Source organism: Homo sapiens, chromosome 1, assembly GCF_000001405.40.
Source record: "Homo sapiens chromosome 1, GRCh38.p14 Primary Assembly".
Taxonomy (NCBI): Eukaryota; Metazoa; Chordata; class Mammalia; order Primates; family Hominidae; genus Homo; species Homo sapiens.
Genome location: NC_000001.11, coordinates 60,936,782 through 60,962,438, shown reverse-complemented (window position 1 = coordinate 60,962,438; position 25,657 = coordinate 60,936,782). Strand labels below are relative to the sequence as shown.

At 41.8% G+C, this 25,657-nt stretch overlaps 1 long non-coding RNA gene across 2 annotated transcripts in view; it reads left to right on the top strand.

Moving 5' to 3' along the window:
• The window catches only part of NFIA-AS2 (NFIA antisense RNA 2), a 30,497-nt gene extending 8,302 nt beyond the window's left edge, over positions 1-22,195 (top strand). Inside the window, exons 3-7 of one of the 2 annotated variants that reach the window (NR_110617.2) lie at positions 7,837-7,954; positions 8,069-8,117; positions 9,755-9,928; positions 21,187-21,259; positions 21,808-22,195. This is a non-coding gene — a long non-coding RNA (NFIA antisense RNA 2). Of the gene's footprint in view, positions 1-7,836; positions 7,955-8,068; positions 8,702-9,754; positions 9,929-21,186; positions 21,260-21,807 lie in introns of those variants that run through there. The other variant, NR_110618.2, reaches the window with a different exon arrangement.
• Positions 22,196-25,657: the final 3,462 nt, after the last annotated feature.

Genomic DNA, 25,657 nt, shown 5'->3' with positions numbered 1-25,657 from the left:
TAATAGGTATTTGTTGAACATTTGAATGAATGGATGTAGTCTTTGCATTCTTCTGTGTCTTCTTAGACTGCCACCTGTATTTTTCATTTATACTTTCTTTAAGACGTAGTTGATTAGAGTTTAGGACCTGGATTCTGACAACATTGTGTTCAGGGTCCCATTTTGCTGCATGCTAACTGAAGAACCCTTGGGCAAGTTAACTCTCCAAGCCTCAGTTAACTGATCTCTACAATGGGGATACTAATCATAGGGCCAACTTCTAAACTGGTTGTGAAGATCAACTGGTGTAATACTTGGTTGGCCCCTGACACACAGCAATTGCTGATTAAAAATAAAAATTTGGCCAATTTATGCAGGGTAGAGTGTATTCAACTCAAAGCCTTGAGAGGAAAAATAGAGGTCCACAGAAAATTTTAAATTATAGGCCTTGGTGCTAGAGTTATCTGGATTGTTTTTTTAAAATTTATTTTATTACAGGGTCTCACTGTGTCACCCAGGCTGGAGCACAGTGGTGCAACCATGGATCCCTGCAGCCTTGAGCTCTTGGGCTCAAGCAGTCCTCCCACTTCAGCCTCCTGAGCAGCTAGGACTACAGGTGCATGCCATCATGCCCAGCTAATTTTTTTTTTTTTTGCATTTTTTGTACAGACAGGATTTTACCATGTTGCCCAGGTTGGTCTTGGCCTTCTGGGCCCAAGTGGTCCTCCTGCCTCAGCCTCCCAAAATGCTGAGATGACAGGCATGAGCCACCAGGCCCAGCCGAGATCTGGGTTCTAATCCTAGTGCCACCATTTGAGTGTCTTCTTTAGTTTTTGATTCCTTCTTTGTAATGTGGAGAAACTTATGCACTCCTTGTAGGGTTGAGGTGAAGATTAGAGGTCATCTTTACCAAAAGGCCAAGCTGGTGCCTGGATTTGGGCTCAGTAAGCAGCAGCCACTCTGACTGTGTCCTTGCTTCCTGGGTGGTGAGGTTTGCAGTGTGGAGAGGCAGAAGGGAAGCAGACAATCTAGCAATCTGTGGAAATTTTTTTCGAATGCTTTGATAAGCTCAGGCCCAGGGGCTGTCTCATTTGACTTCCTCTTACTCACCTTCCTGTCTGGTTGGCAGTCACCAGGCTGGAAGCCATGCCATGGCCCCTCACTGGTGGGTCAGTATGTTTTATTTCCCCTCAGTCCTCTCTAATGAAAAGCACTCACATCCAGTAAATCTTTCTTTGCCCTTATTAAAGCACTTGATGTTGGTTATTGAGGTCTGTTCCAAGCTAGGTGAGAATCAATAAGGCGATCCACTTAATCACTTCAGCAATCAACAAGCTATTTTCTTAGCTTGCACTCTGGCCAGTGCCTACAGAAATCCAGGGGCTTATCAGGCCCTTTAACCCAGGGAGCTGCCTGGAGACTTTCCCTTTCTTTTCCCTCCTCCCTGTCAACCTCATGAAGTCCCAAGTGTTCTGAAACAGCCCTGCCCTCTGCTTGGTCTCAGGGCTGTGTTGGGTAAGATAATGACAAGCCTGTGCTTCTACTTGTACTCTTGCCATTAAGGGCTCCAACTGTCTCTGGGCTGTGGGCAGTCAATACCTGATTACAGATGGTCTCGTTTTGGCCATTGTGGCTTTGCACACTTGGGCAGGGCAACTGCTTAGAATGAGGGCGACCCTATTCCTACTGGGCCAAGCCTTTCTCCCACTTCAGTATTCAAATTTCGCTATAGCTGGGAAATCTTTTTGGAACTCCCAGGAAAAGGATCAGTCGTTTCCTCCTTGTAATGTTTTGAACATAGGTTTACTCTAAGGTATGCTGTACCATATTTGGGCTCTGTCCTGTTTTCCAGACAGCCTGTGATCTCCTTAAAGACTGGAGCTGTGTCTTAGTCATGTCTGCATTATCGAGACCACCCCAATGCCTGACCTGCAGGAGCTCAGTTGCACTTATTGAAAAGAAAGAAGGAAGGAAGGACAATAAGAAAGAAAGAATGAATTTTTTTTATAGTCCTGGAAAACAGCATGGTTTCAAGTCCTGGCATTGCCAATAATTGCAGGGTGACCTTAGGCAAGATATAGAATTTGTTTCAGCCTCAATTTCCTTATCTGTCAGTGAATTAGATAATCCCCCAAATTCTTTCCAGCTCAAACATTTTGTAATCTTATGCCTATAAACCTATGGTTCTCAACTCTTTCATACCCAAAGCCACTTTATATAACAAGTATTTTGAAATCTCCTTTTGCCAACATGAAATGAAATGACTGAATATTACAACCTACCTTCATCCAATTAGGAAAAAAAATGCTCTAACTATAATTTAAAGGGGAAATAAAAGGAAAACAATTTATGATAAAATAATACATATTCCTTTATGTAAAAGTATGGCTAATACCAGAAGATATGATGAAGGAGTCAGAGCCTTGTACTACTATGTTGAATCACTTTGAATGATGTGACAGCTACAAATGCAGAGTGATGCAGGTAGGTTACTTTGGTGCCTCATATGCCACGAGAAGTACTGATGTCATTAAAGTTCTAAACTAGCAGCACACAACATTTCCAGAATTGACATGGTAGTCACATTCCTGGAAAATTCAAGATATGTAAAGCAAAGGTAGATTTTAAGCTCAGATAATTAAAAACAGGCTTTTCAGCCATGTGAATATCTGTGGAACATTCAAAAGCTCTCTGGGAAGCAGGAAGATTCTTCATAGTTCAGAACTGTCCCTGCCATTGAAGATCTCTAGAATCCTTGGCTCCTGCCTACTATGAATCAGCAGGGCCTCCTTGTACCAACCAAGAACCTGCCCACCTACCAAATATTAAAAATGCTATCCACAAGGTGGTATCATTTCTTCCAGGAGCTAGTGCTCTAAGCTTTAAAATGTGCTGTGCAGAGCAGGCTTCAAGGATGAACAATCTGTGTAGTCATCAGGGTTCCCTGCTCTTTGAAGGACCCTGTGCCTGAATACTCTGTTGTTACTCTCCTGAATTTCTTAATGATTTTTGAATAAGGGACCTTATGTATTTGTTTTACGCCAGGCCCTGCGAATTATGTAGCCAGTCCTGGCTATGTATTATGATAGGATTGCTGTATTCCTAAGCATCTGAGAGTTGTTTAGTGTTGAAATGACTATTTTCCTTTGTCTAGTAGCTCTTTCTTTAAATTAGCTAGGATATCCTTAATTACTTTAATTAATTAATTTGTTCATTTATTAAACTAATACACATTGAACTTCTATTATACACCACGTAGACTCTGGAGTCAGAAGACCTGAACCACGATCCTGAAAGAGCTTATAGACTCTTGGATTCTCTGACTTTAACATGGAATTATTAATAATAACTCTCTTTACTTATTGTACAGAATAAGTGTGAATTTAAAAAGATATAGCATTTGGAAGTAAATTGTACACTGTGACATAAATGTCAGTTGCTAATTTTATTATTGTGCTACTCTTTATCTCTGGAGTAAAGTTTTCTCCTTTTTTTCAGTTAGATAGATCATGGAACATGATGCTCTTGGCAGAACACCAAATATGAACTTTCCTATAAAAATCAGAAAACAGAGTAATTGGGTTAAGCAAAATCTTTCAATTTGGGTGTTACTAGTTTAGACTTCATGATAACTCAAAATAATTTTATCAAATTTAAAAAAAGATACGTTAAATTGGGTTTGTCACATAATCATGGAAGCTTTTGGCTGATATAGATTTCAAAAAATTATCCAGTGCTTAAATCTTTTATAATATCCCTATTGAGTATTTACAGAGCCAGCTTTGCTTAATTCCTGTGATGTGTCCTTTGGAAGCATGTGTGCCCTATGCTAGGAACATTTAAAAAAGCAATTCAGCAACCTTTGTATGTGAATTACAAATTATTCTCATTCACTCATTAAAGCAGGGCAGGGCAGCATGCTTTCCACTAGGCAAGACTTACTTAATTTTGTTGTATTTTATAGTAACAAAATTTCTCTGAAAAGATATACTTTATAATTCACACTTTTCACAAATTCATTCAGTTCACCCCTAAGCACCTAATTTTTTAATAGTGAGGTATTACCATGTTATGAAGAAATTAAAAATGTAAGGAGTGACTTTCACAAGTATTAGAATCTACTGGGATATAGTTAGTTGGTTCAGAGATTATTAAGCAGCAACAATTTGTGCTTGGGAGTGAGATGAAAACTGGTCTTGCCTTAATTTGTTGGAGTCATGGGCTGAGTCACAGTAAGGTCCAGGCACGGGGTCATGTCAAGGCATGGTCCTAACTCTGTTATCTACAGGAAGAGAAAGGGCCGTTATACTTTGAGACTGGGGTTCTTTCCTTTGTGGTAGATTTATGAAAATAGAATTGAGAAGAGTCACATTTTCATATGGACTGCTGGCAGTATATGGTTTGTTCGTGACAATTTGAAAATGGATATCTTTTGATAACATTAATAAAATGACAGATTTTATTTAGATAGTTTTATATGCAAACCTACTTATATGCATATGGATGTGTGAGCGAACACGTGTGTTTGTAACAGGAGGCATGAAGAGGTGAAAGTTATGCCCTTTGATAACCCAGGTGGGATGGACTGTTGAATGGTTTCCTGTTGGAAGGACTTAAGCACCTTGCAAGCAGAAAGTGACTCTCCCTGTCCAAAGGGGTGCGAAAATTCTCCCATTGCTGAATCTCACAGGATAGAGAAACGATACAGCTCTCTGAAAAAGTGGAGTGGCAGGGGGTTCAGGTTAGGGAACAGGAAGCTGCAGGAAAATGCTGAAGGTGTTTTCAGAGTATGTTGGTGGGAATCAGAGTTTTCCCTAGAAATAAATTATTTAATGCTTGGGACCTAGTGTTTAAAGACTGAGTTCTAAGAAAGTGTGCAGGCAAAGACTAAGGGCTGCAAAGCAAGAAATGAGCATTCCTGTGTGGAAAGCTTGGGACAGGAGACTCGGGAGCCACAGGAAACGCAGAAAGACTGTTCTGTAGCCTCATTAGTTACACGATTCTTCAACCAACCTGCACCAGACTCACCGTGGAACTCATTAAAAATGCTAATTCCTCAGCCCCACTTCAGGTCTGGTGATTTTGGAATATGTAGTTTTAAGCAAGCTTCCTGGATGACTTTTAGTCACACTGAAGGCTGAGAATGAGGAGGAATGGAGTAATTATTGGTGTAATGCCTGTCTGCTCTCTATGTCTTCTATGCGAACAAGGACCAGGTCTTGTTCTGCAATGTTTCTCCGGCACCTCGCTCAGCCCATCGACCATCAAAATCATTCAATAAATAGTTTCTGAATAATTAGACGAATGAATGAATAAAAGGAACTATAAACTGATATGATAGCCCACTCTATACCTTTTATAATTCTTTGTATTTTGATAGTAAAGGCCACAGGTTCCAGTTCGTATTTAAGGACGGGGTTAGACATTTTCAATGAAATCCATTCAATGTTTTAAAAAATCCTGCCTCTAAGAGCTTTAAAGTATTGTTATATATAGGTATCTTGATTAGGTGGATTCTTGCTGATTATTACAGTACAGATGCTGACGCTCAAAGCGGGGAACTCTGGGTGTGTGCAATGTTAAGAATTCTTTGTTAATTAAATTTGTTTCTGTCTCTGCTGTCTATTGCACACCTACCTAGAGGGATTGCAGGGAAACATGGATGAACTTACAGTTAAAATCTGGAAGAAAGAGTTCAAAGACAAAGCACATCATATTGTGGTGTTCTGAACATCTTTCAACTCCCTCCCTGTTACGCAACTGAAGGATACAGTGGAGCTGCAACCTAACCCCAAGCCTTCTTCCCCAGACAGAGGTTTTTTTCATAAAATCCACTCAGGCCCTTCTTCTCAAGTTCTCCATACACTTCTCACCAGAAAAAAGAAATCATTCATATCTAACAAAGGGTCTTGGATTCTTTAGATAGTTTCCATTATAAGTTTTTGGCACCATTATTACCCTCAGCTCAAGTTACCTTTCTGATCCCTCTTCTTTCATCTGCTGAAAATGGATTATTTCCTTATTAGCTCAAGACCGTTACTGTTCACTGGAAGCAGGCCTGTGTATGAACAGTGCTACCCCTGGCGTATTCCTGAAGATCCCCGTTTGTTCAGAAACCTGCCCTTAAAGCAAGCTTTCCTGAGAGTGGAATGGCAGTGTCTTTTCAGGAAAGGCTTGTTATCGCCAGAAAACTTTCCAGACCCTTGCCTTGAGAAAGCTGAGCACAGCCAACAAGTGCTGGGAAACCATAACAAAGTATTTTCTGTGAAGGAGATGTCTCATGGGTTGGCTCTACTGGGGGTTCGTGGGTCTAAGAGGCACAATGAGGAGACTTGGGAGTCCTTCCTACACAGCTTCAGCCAGAGTTTTTCTGCTTTGAACTATTTCATCATGGAAATTCTACTTCTTGGTTCATTTGGGAAAAAAAAAGATCTAATTTCTAAATATTTTAGAAATCACCTTATAGACTATCTCAAATTTGAAATATTTCCTGAGGTTCTTAGCCAGGGTTCATGGATATTATTCAGGGATATTTGAATTTGGATGAGAAAATAAATTACACCTTTATGTTCACTAATCTCTAAAAGAAATTTATCATGTCTACTAATTAGGATGGTGAGCAAGTCGCAGTAATATTAGCAAAAGCCAGGACTTTGTCCTCTCTAGAAATCACAGATATCTTCATATCACATTGCAATTGTTGAAGATGTCTTGAAACATTACTTACATTTACCACTATCTTGAAATTCTGGTAGATATTAATCCCTCTAATAGAGCTTGCTTTGTGATGCATGAATACAGAAGCACTATTCTTGCCATAGCACAATATTTGAAATATTTTGATACATGGATTTGATAGTTATATATTTGATAATGTGTGTATGTTTGATCACAACATACTTAGTAACTTTAGTTGCTCAATGCACTTTCTTTTATGTGTTTAAAAAGCTACTCTGAGAAGAGGTCCACGATTCACCAGATGTTAAATGGGTCCATAGCATAAAGAAGTTCAGAACCCCTGAAAGCAACTCAGGGTCTGCATTTTGTGATTGTAGTAGCTAATGAGTTGTGAGAAGTAAAAAGAGCCCTTGACTTGAAATCAAGAGGTCTGTGTTTGAGTCTCAGCGCTGCCACTTAACAGCTAAAGATCAAGTCATGGGCTGCTTTGAGCTCCAGTTTCCTTACTGTTAAAGGGAAATAGAAACAATAGCCACCTCGTGGGGGTAATTGGCAGGGTGAGATCAAGAGCATAGGATCTCTCTGTCTCTGGTCTCCCTAACTCAATTTTTAAACATCATACACATGCATGCATTCTTCTTCTAAAATAGAGTTCTGATGATATTATTCCACCTCTGCCTACAGGATAGGGTCCAGCATCTCAGCCCAGCACAAAGTTCTGGAACCTTCTCCAACAGTGCTCCCCACTCAACCACTTCAGCCATGAGGAGCTTTTTGTCATTTCCTTGTCACATCATCCTTTTCCTTCCCTTAAGAACTTTGTCCATTCAGTTGCCTGTCCTTGGAGTAACTGTTCCAGCTTTTCGATTCAGAAAATGTATACTCAAATCGTGCCCTTCTCTCTGCAGCTCTTCCCCTGCTTCTCTCAGCAGACTCCCTCTTCCTCAATGCTCCCAGGGACGTGCTCTGCTCCTCTATTATAACGTTTGACACCCGCTTACATTAATTCATTTTTACCATGTTTGATTTTCTCATTCTCATTTATATTATGATTTTTTTCAAGCTTGGGATACGAAGCTGTATTAGGGAGAAAGGTTGCACAGTTTAAAAAACACGTTGATATTATCATCACATTGACTGGATGTTGGGCATTGTATTTCTTTTATTTTGGAATTCCAGATACCATGAAAGGATTTGAGCGTTTTTTTATGTGAATCCAAAGATGACATTTACAAAAGGTGGAGAAGCAGTTCCCTACTGAGGGACGTGGATACAAAAAGCAGATGACACAACACATGTGAGCATTCCCCACGTGCGTTCTGGGGAGGCACAAGCAGTGGGGCCTTGACCGGGGGTGGGCATCTTCCTTTGGAAGTTTCAAAAAGCCTTTCTCTCTCTCCTTCTTTTTCAGCCCATAGAGTTCCCAGGGAAGAATGAACCCAGATTCTTGACCTGCAGAGGTGGCGTACTGGCTGGAGAAATCTCTGGCTGGCGACCGTGCTATTCTGTCTGTCCACCTAACTGTGGGCTCCCAGATCACCACTGCCATGGGCAGGGGGCCGTGGGGTGGGCCTGCTTGGGGTGACAGGCTAGCTGTGCTCCCATAGCAGAGGTGGGAGAAGGGAATCACATCTGGTGAGCAGCTATGTCGTGCCAGGCACTGTGCTGTGTATTGCACACATCTCAAACCTTGTGACAAATGTGTAAGATATTTTTTATGTATTACAAATGAAGGAACTGGGCTCAGAAAAGCTCCATTATTTGCCCAAATTGCAGCAGTAATGCAGGAATTTGAATCCACATTAATCTGACTCCACAACCCATGTTCTTTCACTGAATTCCCATATCCTTGTTCCCCCTACTGTCCTCACTGGTCAAGGTGAGCTTGGTCTTCCACAAACAGGCTAGAAAAGTATGCTTACTTATCTTTAGCTTTATGCTTTTAAACTAATTCTTAAAAATCTTCTCTGGATAAGTCAAAGACAATGGGAATGTGTATTTCTAATACATTAATTATAATACATTACCGGTTTACACAATGCCATCACCTTGTCATTTTCTTTGACACAACGTCCCCCTCCCCTCTAGTTTATAAATGAGGACATTGAGGCACAAAGTGGGTAAGTGACTTGCCCAAGGGGGAGATTTGTCCAATCATAAAGATGGGCCTGAACTTTTTCTACTTTGCATTCTTACTTGAAAGGCAGGAAACATATGCTCAAGAGGGAGATCTCACGAAATTTCATGTCATATAGTGCTCTCGCTAATTTAATCCTGTCATTCCTGGTTATATCCCTTTGGAAAAACCACCACCAGTGCCTTCTCTTTTGATATATTTACAGTAAAAATATTCCCTGTACAAACCATCTCACTCTTTCACAGGGAACTGGCTTGGCCCTCTCCCCTGAAGTGGGTTGCACATCCACCCAGCCCACCCCCAGCTCACTCTAGCTCCCTTCCTGTTAGAATTTATTCAGAACCTCCATTTCTAGGAGGAAGCAAGGAGGGGGCAGTTATCTTCGTGGACTTGGGTCCTCCTGGACCCTTTGTCCTCATGGTTATGTTTCAAACAGAGTTGAGGGCTCCCTAAAGGGGAAAGATTATTTAAGTTTTGTAAATGCTGCCCTCCAAAAACCACTCCACATAAATGTTTCATGGCTTAGCCTCTGTGAGGCCAGAGCTGGAACATTCAGCTGTGAGGGTGTTTATATTTGTGGAACTCTCTTGAACATTTGCTGTGGGTTTTAAACAGCTGCTATGCTGAAGCTCTGGGGATAGGAAGATCATGAATATTCAGGTGAAGCCACCAGAATGAACAGCCGTTAATAGAATAAATGCCTAAACAGTTGTGTAAGGCTTATTAAGACCTATTGGGGCTGAGATAATAAATTCCCACTCTGACATGTTGCAACTACTGTCGCTTAAACACTTTGGACCACCTCTTCTGAACTGAAGGAAAAAATGATGTTAGTTCTCTGCGCGAATACAAAGAAACACCTGGAAGCCTTGGCAAGGGGATGAGATTTGGCAGAGATCTTTCCGTGTACCGATGCATCCTCAGGAAAATGATGTGCCGCTCATTGTTCCTGTTGTCAAGGTTATCGCAGTCGACTTCAGGCTGGAACGGGCATTGCTCTTGCACTGAAGAAAGTCTGTCCTGACTCCCTCAGAGTGCCTCAACATCAACCAAGAGCCACCGTGAACCTCTGGGGCACTGAGCCTGGCCACCAGCACCCCCACCCCAGCCCATATGGCCTGGGCCTCTCCCTTGGTAAGCCTCTTCCAACAGGGTATCAGAGGAACCAAATACACACTTACACTGGACGCTTGCTTTTCATTCGCTTGCTCCATAATCCATAGCAGGGAACACAATGCAAAGATTGCAAATGTAAAAATGACCTTTCCAAGTGGTAACACCTGGTGTGTTAAAAAGTCCATTGCAGACTGGGTTTGCAGTGTGCACACTGTAAATATGGGGAATGTGGGAAACAGTAGAGAGGGACTGTTTTCTCCTTTGGGTGTTAGCTGTCACCTTGTGTTAGACTGAGCCAGACTCCTCGGTTCTGGCTCCCACAGTCACAAGGCATTAACCAAGGGTATACAGAGGAACTCACCCAGGTTCACACCTAGAGAAGACTCAGTAATATTTGATCAGCAACCTGCTGTCAATTTAGATAAATGGCATTTGACTTCAAATAAAGGTGACTAACTCAATGAAGGAAGCCTGTGCATAGAAGGCAATGTTTGCTTCTCCCAAGCTGTCAGGGAGAGCTTGCCCACCCTAGCAGTGGTCACTGATTTTCTCCACCTCTGAAGACATGGTGGGGTCCTGCCAAAGACTCTGAGCTGTCAGAATTCTGGAAGAGACAAACTCACAACAAAGAAATGCACATGTCTCAATGTGGCTTGGGAGGAGTAGCAGATTTTAGAGTGATGCTGACCTGAATTTGAATTGTGCTCTGCCACTCAAGGTCTGAGTGTCTGAAAGCAAGTTATTCCACTTCTGTGAGGTATAGCTGTCTTGCCTGTAACACAGGCATTATTCTACCTACTCACAAACTTGTTCTGAGAGTTAAAAAACAAATAAACCACCTGGTCGAGGAGTTGGCTTATGGTCGGCAAATCCATTAGTGTGTTTATTCATTTATTAACATAAATCATGAACAGTTATTCATTAGTTTGTTTACTTCTCTTCCTCCTCGTTATTTCTACCAGTAACTTGAATAGGGTAAGGTTTCAAAAATTCCCTTGCAATGCAGAGATTAGCTTTTTTCGTATGCAGTTTCAGATGTCTCCATGCCTTTAATGGACTGGATAAATCAGAGATTTGCCTAAAAGCCAGGCACATGTAAGGGGACAAAACTTATATGCCCCTTTCCTTCAGCCTTCCATACTCTACTCTCCATCCATTATCGGTGACCTGGTTATCAATATAAGAACCAAATCTGTTTCAGAACCTTTTGTGTCATGGTCAAAGTTCCAGAGGAAAGAACAGATGGAATAAATTAATTAGTCAAAGCATGCTTAACTGGAAGGGCACTTATTTCCAGGAGTGGCCAAAGGATAGTGGAACATGCAAGGGAAAAGGAAGCAGAAGTCCCTCAAAGAGTCCAAGGGCTAGTGCTGGGCATCATTCTTTATTTTGAATAAAGATGTATGGTTTTTGTTCCCATTAGCAAATAAGTCAGGAGGGGTCTGACAGTCTTTGTTTTTCCAGAGATGGGTCAGAAAGTGACCCTGAAAATCTGTCCAAACGGTAACACTCTTTCAGAAGGGGGGTGGGTAGGAGAGCCTTTAATGTGATCTCGATGGAGCTGATCAGACACTCATCTGTAATGATGCCTCCTGGCAGGAGCTTGCATGGGGTTGGCTGGACAGCTGCCTTCGGGAAGCTCCCGGCAAAGCCTGCTTGCTTGGCCAACAGCAGGGGCCCAGCTGATCAGAGCCCGGATCGTACTGCTTCTCTTTCTCTCCTTTTTTCCTCCTCTCTATCATGGGCTAATACTTATTTCATCACATCCCTGCTCCCCATCCTTGGCACCCTTCAATGTTGACTGTCACTCCCTGGGTTCTGATTTGAAGACTACCACTCCAGGATGGAGGACTCTAAGAATGCCATACTGTTATTTTTATCACACAACAGGTGTGTACTCTAGGCAAACCCACACAGAGTAGAAGTTCCCTCAAAGCCCCAGATTACGGATTTAATATGCTAAAAATACCTGTCCTCCCACCCCGATTCCATCCTAGGTCTCTTTGTCCCATGAAGTCACTCTCACCATTTCTCTTTCCCTCTGAACTTGAACAAACAGCAAACAACACATGCTTTTTATTGCTATTCTGGAAAAGAAGAGCTGTTTCCAATGAAAGCCCATGCCAAGCAGAGTCCCTCTTTTTCCAAGAGGTTTTGGGAATGAGTGAATTTATTTTCAGCCAACAAGCAGGAAAATAAATGCCAAATGGAGGTTGCTTCATAGAAAACCAATGCAGGAAGGGACCTGAGAGATGATCGCCTCTGACCAGCCAATGCAGGTGAGGAAATCTGGGGCCCAGAGGTTAAAAGATTGCCCCAATGTTAGGGAGGATAGGAGAGAGCCAACGCTCCCACTGGGAATAATAATGAGGATAAATTACATTTACTGAAGCCTTTGTTTTAGATGCAGGCTTTCTATCATTACTCCTTAACAACTCTCTCATATTCAGGCAAGGAAACACCACTGCAGGTGGGAAGTTAGGTAACTTACCCAGGGTTACACAGATAGTGAGTGGCAGAGCTAGGACACATGCTTGGGCCAGTTCAGTTTCAAGGCTGATTGCTTCACCGCAACTCACCCTCCACCACCTCCCATTGCTCCCCACTTGCAAGAAGTCACTGAGTCCAGAAGACAACCAAGGATTCTGCGCTTGCTCTCAACTGGAAACAATTGGATCAAACTTCCCATGTTAAGTTGCCCAGTTTTCCTGGTCAGAGCCAGAGTAGGGGAAGTAGGGACACAGATCTCCCATGCTGAACCTTAGCAAGCAAGCCTATGGCACTTGCTTAATCTCTGCGATCTTACTTTGCAGTTGTGGTTAGAGGTAATTTTAAATATGTCCCAGATGTGACTAGAGGGTATTAAGCAGGTCTCCGCATGGGAGAGCTGGGCCATGTGTGCACCAGCACCTTGGGCTGGCTCAGGAAGTGGGTCTATCAGCTGAAACGTGACAAACTTCCTTTTCCCTCTGGCCAGAGGAAACACAAGGTGGAATGGGGGAGGGGGCTGCAGCTGGCTTGAGTTGAATGGCTGGGAGGACAGGGCTCCCAAAGGAAAAACATCAAAACATGTTCTGATGTTCTGTCTCTGTGCGGTGTGCTGGGGAATGCATGGGGTTTAAAGTCAGGTAGATTTGGGCCTGCCACTTTACATCTGTAGCTGGTAAGTAGTTTTAATTCCTCTGAACCTCAGCATTCTCATCTGTAAAATGGAGATCTTTATTTGCCTTATAGGGCTGTTTTGAGCGTTAGAGAGAAAGTATGCAAAGAATCAGGAATAGAAAATGTTGGCTGTTATGTCAGTATTTTTGGGCAGGAACAATAATGAAATTAACAGTTTTTAGATTTGTATTTTTCTCCAGCTCTCTCTCTTTCTGTTCAACAGTTCCCAAACTTTAAAGAGAACAGATCCCAAGGAATAGTCTTAGGTTTCCTGAGTAGGGTTGATGGCTAGGGGTGCCAGTTGCTCTACCGAAAGAGAGATACTGGGCATGGTAGCAGTGGCTACAGGAGAGGAATGGGTGTAGAGAAGTTGCAGGAAGGAGGAGAGAGGGAGGAGCAGCTATACAGAAAGGTGCTTTGGGGAAACAGAGAGATTTCCAAGAATGAGTTAAAGGAGGTTTTGCTTTGTAATATAAAATGTGAACCTCCTCCTCTATCTCCATTAAGAAACTTTTGGTAAAACCTGCATTATGCTTCAATGCTTTCAGAGTATGCTTTGTGATACCTGTTGCTATCAGGCTCCACGATATGAGTAGCTCAAAGTAACTCAGTTATACTCAAGCTACTTTCAACAGTCTGTGCTGGGAAGGGTTACTCTGTGTTCTCTGGCTAGTGCCTGGAGTGATCAGCTGAGCTGACAACATAGGTGCCATTAGCAACTGGCACTGGGGACTGGCTTTGGCATTCAAAGAGCTTTTTTCCCCTTGGTAAACTCCATGAAAGGGATGATATTGGTGGTGGTATGTATAGGTATGTATTGATGAAATTCAATCTTGGGCACTTGAATCTGGAATCTTTGAAAAATTTCAAGGAATGGTCAGCATTTTTCTTTTTCTTTCTTTTCTTTTCTTTTTTCAGAGTCTCACTCTGTCACCCAGGCTGGAGTGCAGTGGCGTGATCTCAGCTTACTGCAACCTCTGCCTCCTGGGTTCAAGGGATTCTCCTGTGGTTTTAAAGATGTTTTCCTCAGCAGTATATATCGGGTTAGGGTGTGTGAAGAAGGAAGAACTCATGGGAGCTATTTTGGTCCTGTAGTGTGGAACAGATGAGAGTCCTGGTTGTCTGAGAGTAATGATAATCAGTGGATCCTACCCTCTGGGGTCTTAGAAGGAGGCCCACCCAGGGTGGGGAGTGGAGAGAGAGTGCCCAGGCTAGGAGTCTCAGCTCCCCCCTCTCATGTGACTATTGTCAAGTCATTCAGCTTCTCAAGTCCCTCTGCTGTAAAGAGTATCAACAGGGACTACCAAACTGGGTCCTTGGGAAAATTTAGCAGGTTATCATGAAAGTTCATTGTTAACTACAAACTGCTACACGAATATACAGTTTACAATGATAAGGCTCTGGACTCAACCTTGGCTCTGACGCTTTCTACTTAGGTGACCCTATGCACCACCTGTGACTTCTCTGAGCCTCAGTTTCTTTGAAGGAAAGGAAGGGCAGCAGCACAAACTCTGCTGAGTTGTTGTGAGGATCAGAAGAGCAATGTTGGCAAGTGTGTTTCATAAATGGTAGAGTACCATAAATGAAAAAGTCTCCTGCAACTGCTTTTACCGCTTACAAATTTTAGTATCAACCTCATGTAGACTAAAAGAAAAATGGAGCCCTTATATTAAATGCTACAGAGGGCATACAGCCTTTTAATGCCCTCTAACACTGATTTCCAGTAAGGGAATGACTGTAAGCCTTTCTGAAATGAAACACTCTTCCACAGCATTTTATTTGAACTTAATTTTACTACGCACCTAGTGTGGACAGAGTTCCTCTATGGGTAATACATGACTCACCCCTCAAGCTTTTCCAACAACAGTGAAAAGTTATAACTATTTGATTTCCCCAATAAAGAATTATTAGCAGTAATAATCAGAGAATATTAGGTTAGGCGCTGTGATCCCAATTCTCAGGGGAGGCCCAGACTTGAGTACAGTAAATATTTTATAATAATTCCCTGGCTAAACAAAACAGATGCAGAGCCCTGAGACTCAAGGTCTGGATTGTAGCTCCCTCAGTGAATCAAGCCACTCGCCTCTGGCTTGGTCATTCTGGCTTGGGTGCTACGGATCTGAACTTCTAAAGGCTGCAGGACAGAAGGCTCTGCAAACCCCCAAATTCAACATATCCCAAATCAAACAAAGGATCTATTCCGTAGATGTGACACAACCAGCTTTCTAGTTTCTAAAATTCAAGATTTCAGTGTCACAACTGACACAAGCTTCTCACTTATTAAGGCCCATCAGGACTGGACTGTGTCTAGCCAGGCAGATCACCTAGTCAGCATTTGCCATTTGTCATGTCCTTCCATTTTTGCACCCACTGTCCCATGTCAAGCCCTCATTATTCTCAGGTGAACCATGGACATTTTGCTTGCTTTTAAAAATCTCATCTGGATCTCATTGTTCTAGCTAACTTTAGTGTATCCTTTGTACAAACACTCTCCACTCATGTGCCATGCTGGGTTTCTAAAGCACAGGTATGAGCATCCCATTACCCTGCTCATAAGCTATCCATGGCTCCCTAGTGCCTATAGGGTAAGGTTTACACTCCTTGGCCTGGCATTCTAGGACCTTCATAATCTGATCCCTATCATACCTTGTTCTTTAGCTATACTCAACTCCTTGCTGTTTCCTAGACACACTTTGCTTTTCTTCCTCTCTTCCTTTGTTCATGCAGTTTTCTTCACATATGAAATCTCTGTCCATTTTCAGGGAAACTGTGAAGAAAGACACTTCCCTCAAAAAACTGTCTTTTCCATAAGAATCGCTTAGCTGGAGCTAAATGCCTTTTTAACCTATATGCCCACAGAACTTCCTGCATCTTATACCAGCCCTTATTACTCACACTATAACATGAAATATAAGGATCACAGGTAGGAGGCAGCATAAAGGATACTTTCTTGTAAATGTCACATCTGAACCCTACCTTTAAAGAACATTATCCCCTATTATTCTCTTTCATAGAATTTCGTTGTTTCTCTCATTTAACTTTGTTCATAATTTATATTTGTTCGTATACCCATTATTTAATATTTGCCTTACCTATAGCACTACAAACTCACTTTAGGAATGGACCGTGCCTGTATGTATATGTCTATCACCAGGGCTTAGCAAAAGTGCCTGGCTCATAGCATATGTTAAATAAATACTAGTTAAGTAAATAAGCAAAGAATGAAATGCCTGCAACTCTACCTAGATTGACAACTTGTGGATATCTTTGCACTTCACTGCTCCATCTATCCCGGTCCTTTTGCTAGCAGATGCCCAACCAACAGTAACTGAATTGGATTTTAACATTAAGTATTCATTTCTTTCTGTTGAGTGAGGAAACTATTGTGATCAACTTGTGGCCCTTTCGGTTTGTTCGTGAAAGAAAAGTCATCAAAAAGTAGGCAATAAGCTAGTCTTTGCTTGCATTCTGAGAGATTTATGCACCAGAGATTCCCAACATGCTTCCCAATAAAAGCCTTTTCATGGTAACGCAGATCTACAAAGTGGATGTTAGTTGCAAAAAGATAATTAACAAATCTCTGACCTAAGTCTGTTTATACTGCTACTGTTAAGGGTAAACATGTTAGTTTAAGAAAGACATTTTGCCTTAATTCTAAGTGTTCACACATGAAAATGTTGTCAGGTATGGATTCTGGCTATGAAATTAACACCTGCAGAAATTTATATTTGTGTTCATATTGTGGATGACCCATAACTTTAATGAGGGCAGAACATAATTCATGTGTGAAAAAATTGACCAGACAAATTGTTCAACCGTTCATCTATTTGTTACTATTTTGTACTTTAATCTTTCATTCATTCATCTGCTGACTTGACAAGTACCAGAGTGGTAATTGTGGGCTTAGTAGAGTGAAAGCTATAAGCTCACACAAAAGGTATCAGTACCAGCCCTCAGTGAGAGCTTAGTGTGCATAAAATGATCACAGAAGGCTTTATGGAGAAGTCAATACATTAAAAAAAAAAAAAAGCTTCTTCCCTTTAACAAACCAACAGAAAAATGGGATCTTTGTTCAGTAATTTTATTTTATTTTATTTTATTTTGGAGAAGGAGTCTCACTCTGTTGCCCAGGCTGGAGTACAGTGGTGCTATCTCAGCTCACTGCAACCTCTGCTTCCCGGGTTCAAGTGATTCTCCTGCCTCAGCCTCCTGAGTAGCTGGGATTACAGGCTCTCACCGCCATGCCTGGCTAATTTTTGTATTTTTAGTAGAGATGGGGTTTTGCCATTTTGCCCAGGCTGGTCTCGAACTCCTGACCTCAAGTAATCCACCTGCCTCGGCCTCCCAAAGTGCTAAGATTACAGGCATGTGCCACCATGCCCAGCCTTTTGTTCAGTAATTTTATATTGCTCTTTTCTGTTGGGCCCATTTGGTCATTAACCATACTGTGAGTGTGTGTTTGTATGTATACATTACGCATATGTGTTTGCATGTATATAGTAAACTAGCTATGCCTAAATTCTGGCTGTGAAGGAAAAATGGAGGAAATTAAAATTTCTAATTTTCAAAATCCATTGTTTATGAAATGTCTTTAAACTATAGAACTCATCATTAATAATAATCTACTGTGTGGTGAGCCAGTACAATATATAGTCAGGTGGAAACACTGGTGGGAAACCAGGGTAGGAGGCACAGCATGGGTCACTCAACTGTCTGTCTCTAGAGAGTGTCTAGGGCTTTGAGTTATGTGATATAAAAGTCACTGGCTTAAATTTATCTCTGTTGTCTTTCTTTCAATGTTTTCCTTTGATTTTCAAAGTTTTGTTTACTAGGTTCATGTGTTTAGTCTATCAAGAAGCAATCAGAATACAACTAGCAACAGACATTACTCTCCATGCATAAGATCCCTTCAGATATAGAAGAATCTACCAGTACCCAGGTGAAGAAGAAACAGTTGTCACTTGCTAAAGGGTCTCCTGGAACCTTTTCTCCAGATCACAGTGAGCAGAGCCCTAAAGGGATCTCAGTTATGTCTGAATCGTTTCAGGTCCATCACACAGTGTATAAAATGATGAACATTTGGCAAGGCGCAGTGGCTCACGCCTGTAATCCTAGCACTTTGGGGGCTGAGGCAGGTGGATCACCTGAGGTTGGGAGTTCGAAACCAGCCTGACCAACATGGAGAAACCCCGTCTCTACTAACAATACAAAATTAGCTGGGTGTGGTGGTGCATGCCTGTAATCCCAGCTGCTCTGGAGGCTGAGGCAGGAGAATTACTTGAACCTGGGAGGCGGAGGTTGTGATGAGCCGAGATTGTGTCATTGCACTCCAGCCTGGGCAACGAAAGCAAAACTCTGCCTCAAAAAAAAAAAAAAAAAGAAAAAAAAAAAGGTCAACGTTTACATTACACCACCAGCAAAAGAATAAAACCCCATAATTATAATGGAAGATCTCTACCTTTTCTTTAATTGTATTTCCTCTGCCCTCATTGCCCCCAGCCCCCTTGAGGTAACCACTCTTCTGGATTTGCAGGTCTGCCCTTATTTTCTGAATACCGTAGAGGGCAATTTGGTTTGTATGAACTCCAGATTCAGTTACTCAGCAAGGAGAATTTCCAATTCTTTGGGATTTTCTGCCTTAGATGATCACTAAATTCTTTTTTTTATTAGTTGATTTGACCCCCTGAAGATAATTTAAATTTGACTGGGGTATTTAAGCATGTGGATTCAACTTGAGTAAGTTGTTCCACAGAGACCATGGCCAAACTCTCCATTAATTCGGTTCACTTATGGTGAGCAGCAGTAAGACTGGGAGGAACCAGGAGGATGTAAAAATAGAAAACTAAGGGAATCCTAAGGGAAAGGCTAATGAGAAATTTTGGGAACATAATTGTCATCCAACTATTTTAGGGACTGTCATTCTTCATACTCCTGACACCTAACGAGTCATCGAGTATTCTCAGTTCCGCTTCTTAAATATCTCTCAGCTCTGTCCCTTCCTCTTCATCTGCATACACAGTGCCTTAGTGTATTCAGGCCCCTGTCACTGTGGCCCGTTCTATTGTAATAAGTCCTTCTCATTTCCTGACTCTACTCGCTGCCCTCTTAATTCATTCCTTTCACTGAACTCAGAAATATCTTTCCAAAACACACATCAGAGTAAGTTACTCCATTTTGCTTGACACCTTTCAGTGGCTCCCCATGGAGGTCAGGATACAATCCTGTCTTCATAGTCAAGCTGCCTCTGCAGCTTCCTGGATCGGTTTTCTCTGCTGCTCACCCTTGCTCCAATCATGCTGAGCTCCATGCAGTGTCTTCCTCTCATGTAGATGTGCCTGTGGCTGCTGTTACCTCCTGCTTGTCCTTCAAGGCTTAGTTAGGTATACTGTCACTTTTTCTGGGAGGCTTTCCTTGATTGGCTCTTTTCGAGTTCTCATGACACCTCCAGACTCTTCTATCTTTGCACTTGATAAACTGTCCTGTAAGGTTTTACTAGTTCATCTCTCACCCTTTACTGTAGGTTCCTTAGAAGGTAGGGACTGTGGTGTTTATTTCTGAACTATGGCACTCCCCTACAATGCCTGATCTAATCCATGCTTGTGAAACAGATGAATGTATGCATGCATGAGTGAAACTAATGGAGCACAATTGAGGGCTATTCCCCCACTTGCACGTAAGCTCCAAGAAGGATGAGGTTTTTGACTGTTTCATTCTTTGCTTAGCCTCTGTACCAAGAACAGTGTATGTCACATAACTGGTACTCAATAAGCAGTTCATGAGAGAGTGATCTATGACTTTTTCTGTGTGGCTGCAAAACTGTGACTTTTTCTTGGTAATTCCAGGGAGACTGTCTGAGGTACCCATTCCTGCCCTCTGACTCACTACCAGGAGGCTCAGCCCTGTGCATGCCTCAAGCTCACCGATCAGGTCTAACAGCATGATTGACACTTTCTCTCTCCACCGGACAAGTAGTTTTCAAAATATTGGTGTGTGAACCACCTGGGAAACAATTGCACCAGAGTCACCCAAGGTGCATGTTAATATGACAGGTTCCTGGGTCCCACAGCACACTAGCTAAATCAGAATTTCTGGAGTGGCTCCAGGAATCTGCATTTTCGCCAACTTTCTACTTGTTTCCTATGGACACTAGGAAGATTCAACAGTGGCATGGGCTGCTCTAGAAGGGTAGTGAATACCCATCACTATAGAAGGTCTAGAAGAGGTTGGGCAGCCTAGGACTGATAACACTGGGCGTGTGTTTCACTCTCCCACTGCACCTCCTAAATAGGAAAAGAGTAGCATCGTCCCTGGCCCAACAGGCACTCAGTAAAACTTGCTGAAAAGAATGGATAGATTCCGAGATTTGTTCATACAAAATTATGTAAACACATGTAAATGTTTATTCATTATCTACATGCTCAGTGATTTACATGAACCAATAATTAGTCCGTTTTGTTTTTGGACTTGAAATTCTCTTTATGTTCTCAAATAACACAGCTGATTTTAAGCCATTAAATTTCTTCTCTAACACTTTCATTAAAGTCACAATTTTCTGAGTATTACAAAATTCCCATAAAGAGGAATCCCTTAAAGTTAGTGTGTGTGAAGTTGACCTGGAAAAGGGAAAATGGGTCTTGAAATTGAGGAACCACAGTTATAACTACCTTAACTAATTTACAAAACACTGTCCATGAAAGAGGATGTAAAAAAATGTAAACGTGGTGTGCACAACACAAACGGTTTCTTTCATTTGACAAAAGATACCTCTTGTTCCTCTCTATAGTCGGCATGTTTTATCTTTAGCATTTACAAAGCATTGGCATTTTCAAGAATATTATTCAGATCACCTTGATGCTTTCCCTCCTGGGATCTTCCTTCCCAATCAATAGAAGTGCCAGCAGCAGGAAGAATCAAGAAATCCTTGTTGAGCTGAGAATGCCTGTTCAGAACAAACTGGGAGGATTTCCTGACTTGTTTATCTTTGGGATTTTCAGCCGGTGACCATGAATTCCTCCAAAGATGTACTTTTTGATCTTTTGATATAGTACACAGGCAATCATTTTTACCCCTCTGGGTTTCACGAATTTCAATATCTGCGTTTTCTGTTGTTTTAGATGTTTAAAGGAGATGATAAAAATGCTGCAACCCAGATAATGATCACCTTACTCTTCAAAAATACTGCCCAAGGTACTGCTGATTATCATTACCTCTCTGTATCTGGTCTCTTTCACTACATGGTAGGAAATTATGTATGGTGGGTTGAATGGCTGCCCCTGTCCCGACCCCCTGCACTCCCTCCATCCCCCATCTTCCTACCCCCAACAAAATACGTGTCCATTTGGACCCTGAGAATGTGTTCACCTTGAATCTGTGAATGTGAGGCAGGAGAATAGGGTCTGGAGGCTGGGAATATAAGGCCAATTCATGCTGACTTCCTAGAACTAAATCAAATGGAAACACTTCAGCTATGACAAGAAAAATCCTCTCTATTTACATAGGGATTACACTGAGTAAATGACTTTGTAACTTTACTTCATCCTCTTCATTTACATAGGGCATACACCAAGTAACCAGTGGAAACCTCTAGATGGTATTTAAACCCCAGAAAATTCTGTAAACGGGGGTTTGAGCCCCTATGCTTGGGCCTGCTCCCACCCTGTGGACTGTATTTTCATTTTCAATAGATCTCTGCTTTTTTTGCATCATTCTTTCCTTGCTTTGTGTGTTTTGTCCAGTTCTTTGTTCAAGATGCCAAGAACCTGGATACCCTCCACTGGTAACAAATATGACTTTGTTTTTAGCAAGCAACTTTGCAGTGTAATTAAGTTAAGGATCTTGAGATGAGATCATCTTGGAATATCTGGGTGGGCCCTAAATCCAATGACAAGTGTCCTCATAGGAAGGGAAGATACACACAGAGGAGAAGGTGGTGTGAAGATGGAAGCCAAGACTGTTGATACCAGTTGGAGAGCACCAAGAACTACCCGCAGCCACTGAAAGCTAGGAGAGAGGCATAGGACTGTCTCCTTCAGACCCTCCAGAAAGACCAAACCTGCCCGTGCCTTGATTTCAGACTTTTGGCCTCCCACATTGTGAGAGAATAAAATTTTGTTTTTGAAGCCATCTAGTTTGTGGTAATTTGTTATGGCATTCCTGGGAAATGAATACACTGTACTTTGGATCCAGTATCTCCCAGTTATTACCATATCAGTCTCATCAGGCTAGAATTATCCTGAGGTTTACGCCTCCTGCTATAGTAAGAGGAGTTTTACTCCAGAGTCTATGCTGGGCATCAGGGCCTTTAGGGACAACCATGGTCATCTTCTGGTGGAGAAAACGGAAAACTAGCTAATATTTGTTGGTCATTTGTTATTCGTCAGGTGTGCTAAGAGATTTACATGCATTACCTTAATCTTCACAGTAGATCTACGTATGAAATCAGGTCTGTTATTTTCTTCCATTTTCTAAATGAGGAAACAGAGCCTCAGGGGATTTCTCATGTATGAATTTAGGGAATCATACTGTCGAGGGTAGGGCTGAACTCCTAACCTGGATCAGCCTCATACCAAAGTCTTTTCTCTGTATCACAGGAATTATGGGGAAAACAAAGAGAGCCCCTTGAGGGCCAGGGCCATACTAAGCAGATCTTTCACATTCATGAATGCATTCTTAGAGATCTGTGTGACTTCTTAGGTTCTAGAAATCTCTCTACTTGAGAAGGGGACAGTGGGCTAACTCATGAAAGAACTCTCAGGATGAGTGACTTAAATCTGATTCTTATTTAATCCCCCAAACAGGATTATGTGATCATCATTATTAACACTATGCCAAGGTATACAAGTCATGAGATACGGAGGTTGCTCATGAATAGAAGAAACCACCAACATCACATTTCAGAATCTATTTATTTTGTGAATCACTTTACATTTTAAAATGTATCTTTATCCTAGAAAAAAATGTTGATAAATATCTCTCTAATCTCTGTGTAGAAAGGAATTTTTTAAATCCTTAAAATTAATGGAAGGAATCACAAAGTAAAATTTAGATAGGTTCGACTTCATAAAAATTAACTGCATGTCAGAAAGTATGTTAAGCAAAATTAAAGGGCAGACAAACATCTGGGGAAACACTTAGAGCAAATATAAACAAAGATTTAGTAATACTATAGGATGACTTTATACATATTGATAGGACAAACAACACTATTCTCCAATAGATAAATGAAGCAAGACGTTAACTATCTCAATGATTTTTACAAAGTGTATTCAGCAGCAGAAAGAAGCATCATAAAATGCCAAATCCACAAGGTAAGCTATAAAATCATGTTCAATATACTAATGAAAGGTAACATTTATTCAGGGCTCATCACATGCCAAGCACTGTATTGAGTGCTTCCCATGCCTTATCTCCTTGAGTCCCCAAGATAACCTAATGGGGTATGCACTGTTAGCATTTTCATTTTATATATGAGGAACCTGAGGCTCAGAGTGGTGGAGTGACTTACTTGATGTCATGCAACAAATCCCTAGCACAGCTGGGACTCAAACTCAGGTCTTTCTCTGAAGTCGTAATTCCTTGTTTCCAATGGCTTACTATGTTAAGTGACCTGGGCCCCTGCCTTTTGCTCTTTATACCTCTCATAGTACCTTGCAAATAATTCAGCCTTCTGAATTATGGGAGGCAGAGTAATTTATTGCTTAAGATAACAGTTTTAGGATCAGAATGCTCTAGGTGGCCCCGGACAATGTAACTGCTCCCATCTTCAGTTTCTTTACCACAGTAAATTGTGGCAAGGATTAAGTGAATTTGCATGCTTGGAGGGCCTGGGACATTTCCTAGGACATAGAAGATGATCAGAAAATGGCAGGGAATACTAAATAGAATGGCATCATATCCCTTTGTGTGTAATAAGGCAGAATTATTTGTTATTTTAACAGTTGGCACCAACAATATTTTGTGTGTGTGTGTGTGTGTGTGTGTGTGTGTGTGTGTAAGGGGAGGAAATTGTCTTTGTTTGAGGGAAAAAACCCTTGATGACTCATTAAAGGTATCTGAGATCTGAGGGTATGAGTGTTTTAAACCCAGCCTTCAGAAATCATTATCACTCCTCTCCCTCCTCCCTTCCAAAAAAGAGAATGGTTTAAACAGTTGCATCTGAGAATATGAGATTTCTTTTTTCTCTTGAGAGGGAAGAGAAGAGAAGAGTACAAAGGGGTAGAGAATTATGTGGGGTGAGGCTGAGCTGGTGGGAAGGAAAGACGTGAGCTAAGGGAGGTCTGAGTGAAGTTTCACTTGCAATCTTCTGCTTTTAAGATGGTGCCATATTTTACATTTCGTGCTTAACATGATGTTGTGTTACTGTGTCATTACTCCCTCCTCGTCTCTCCATATCGCAGTGACATCTGCCAAAAATCTCCTGAACTCACAAATGCTTTGCAAGAGCTTTTATATAAATAGAAATGACCTCTCTCATGGACAGGTGGACATGGGCCAAGGCAGAGATGGCACTGAGAAAGGACCTTGTAGACCTGGATGACCGTAAGAACACAAGCCCCTCCAAGAATCCTCAGAAATCTTAAAATGTCAGTGGAATAAGTGGGGATTCACACTGATTAGGAAGAGCTGGGGGACCTCTACTGATATTTGGTTCACCTTTGTTGCCTTCCTGTTCTTTGCATGTAATAAATGCTCAGCAAGAATTTCTTGAATAACTGAGGAGAACAATAGAAAGCATATCTATGTGGCTCAGACTCTAATTACATTGGAGTTCGCAGACAGGAGAGACCCATGTGCTAGCGGAAGCAGGGAAGACTTTGTTCAGGTGTCACTCCTGACACCATGCAGAGCTGACCCAACAGCAAGTTTTTCTGTTGTCTCTGTGTTGATAGGAGCAGATGAATGGAGATTATTGGTGAAGCCAGCCAGCTCTGTCCCTGGTTAGAATCTGGTATTGGCTATTTTGGACATCTCTGGAGGATACTTCGATATAGTGAGTGTGGTCAGAAGTGGACGGTGCTGTTGTAATCACAAAGGAAAGAGGACCAATGAATTCATTTTGGATGGGAGCAGACAACTCCAGGATCCAGTGTAGGTGGTGTGGGCACAATGGAAGATGAAGAGGATTGCCCTTGCACATAGACAGGACAGGATTTAGCCACAGAATGGTCACTTTGCCTGTTGCCTAGGAAAGGGCACTTAGGATGCCTCTCAGTTGGAAGATATTATCTCCAGATGGAGTCCTCTGCCTGTTGGCAAAGTCAACAGCATTATTTGGTAATATTTTGATGTGCTATTTATGTGGAAAGGGGGCTTATTGACATATCTCTCACTTCATGCGCAAACAGCTCTAACTTTTCTTTCTGAAAGTGACTGTTGCAATGAAGATGACAAATCTCAGAAGGGCACTGGAGGCGGGGGGCAAAAATGGGCAGGGCATGGGCTTGTGCCTAACACCATGTGTCCTGGCTAGAGTGTCCAGGCCTGGGTTTGATTTGCATTCAGGCTGCATCTTTGGTTGGTGAAGCTGGACTCGCCTGTCATTCTGATGAATCTGGCAAAAGCTCCAGACAAGGGGTTTCAATGAAG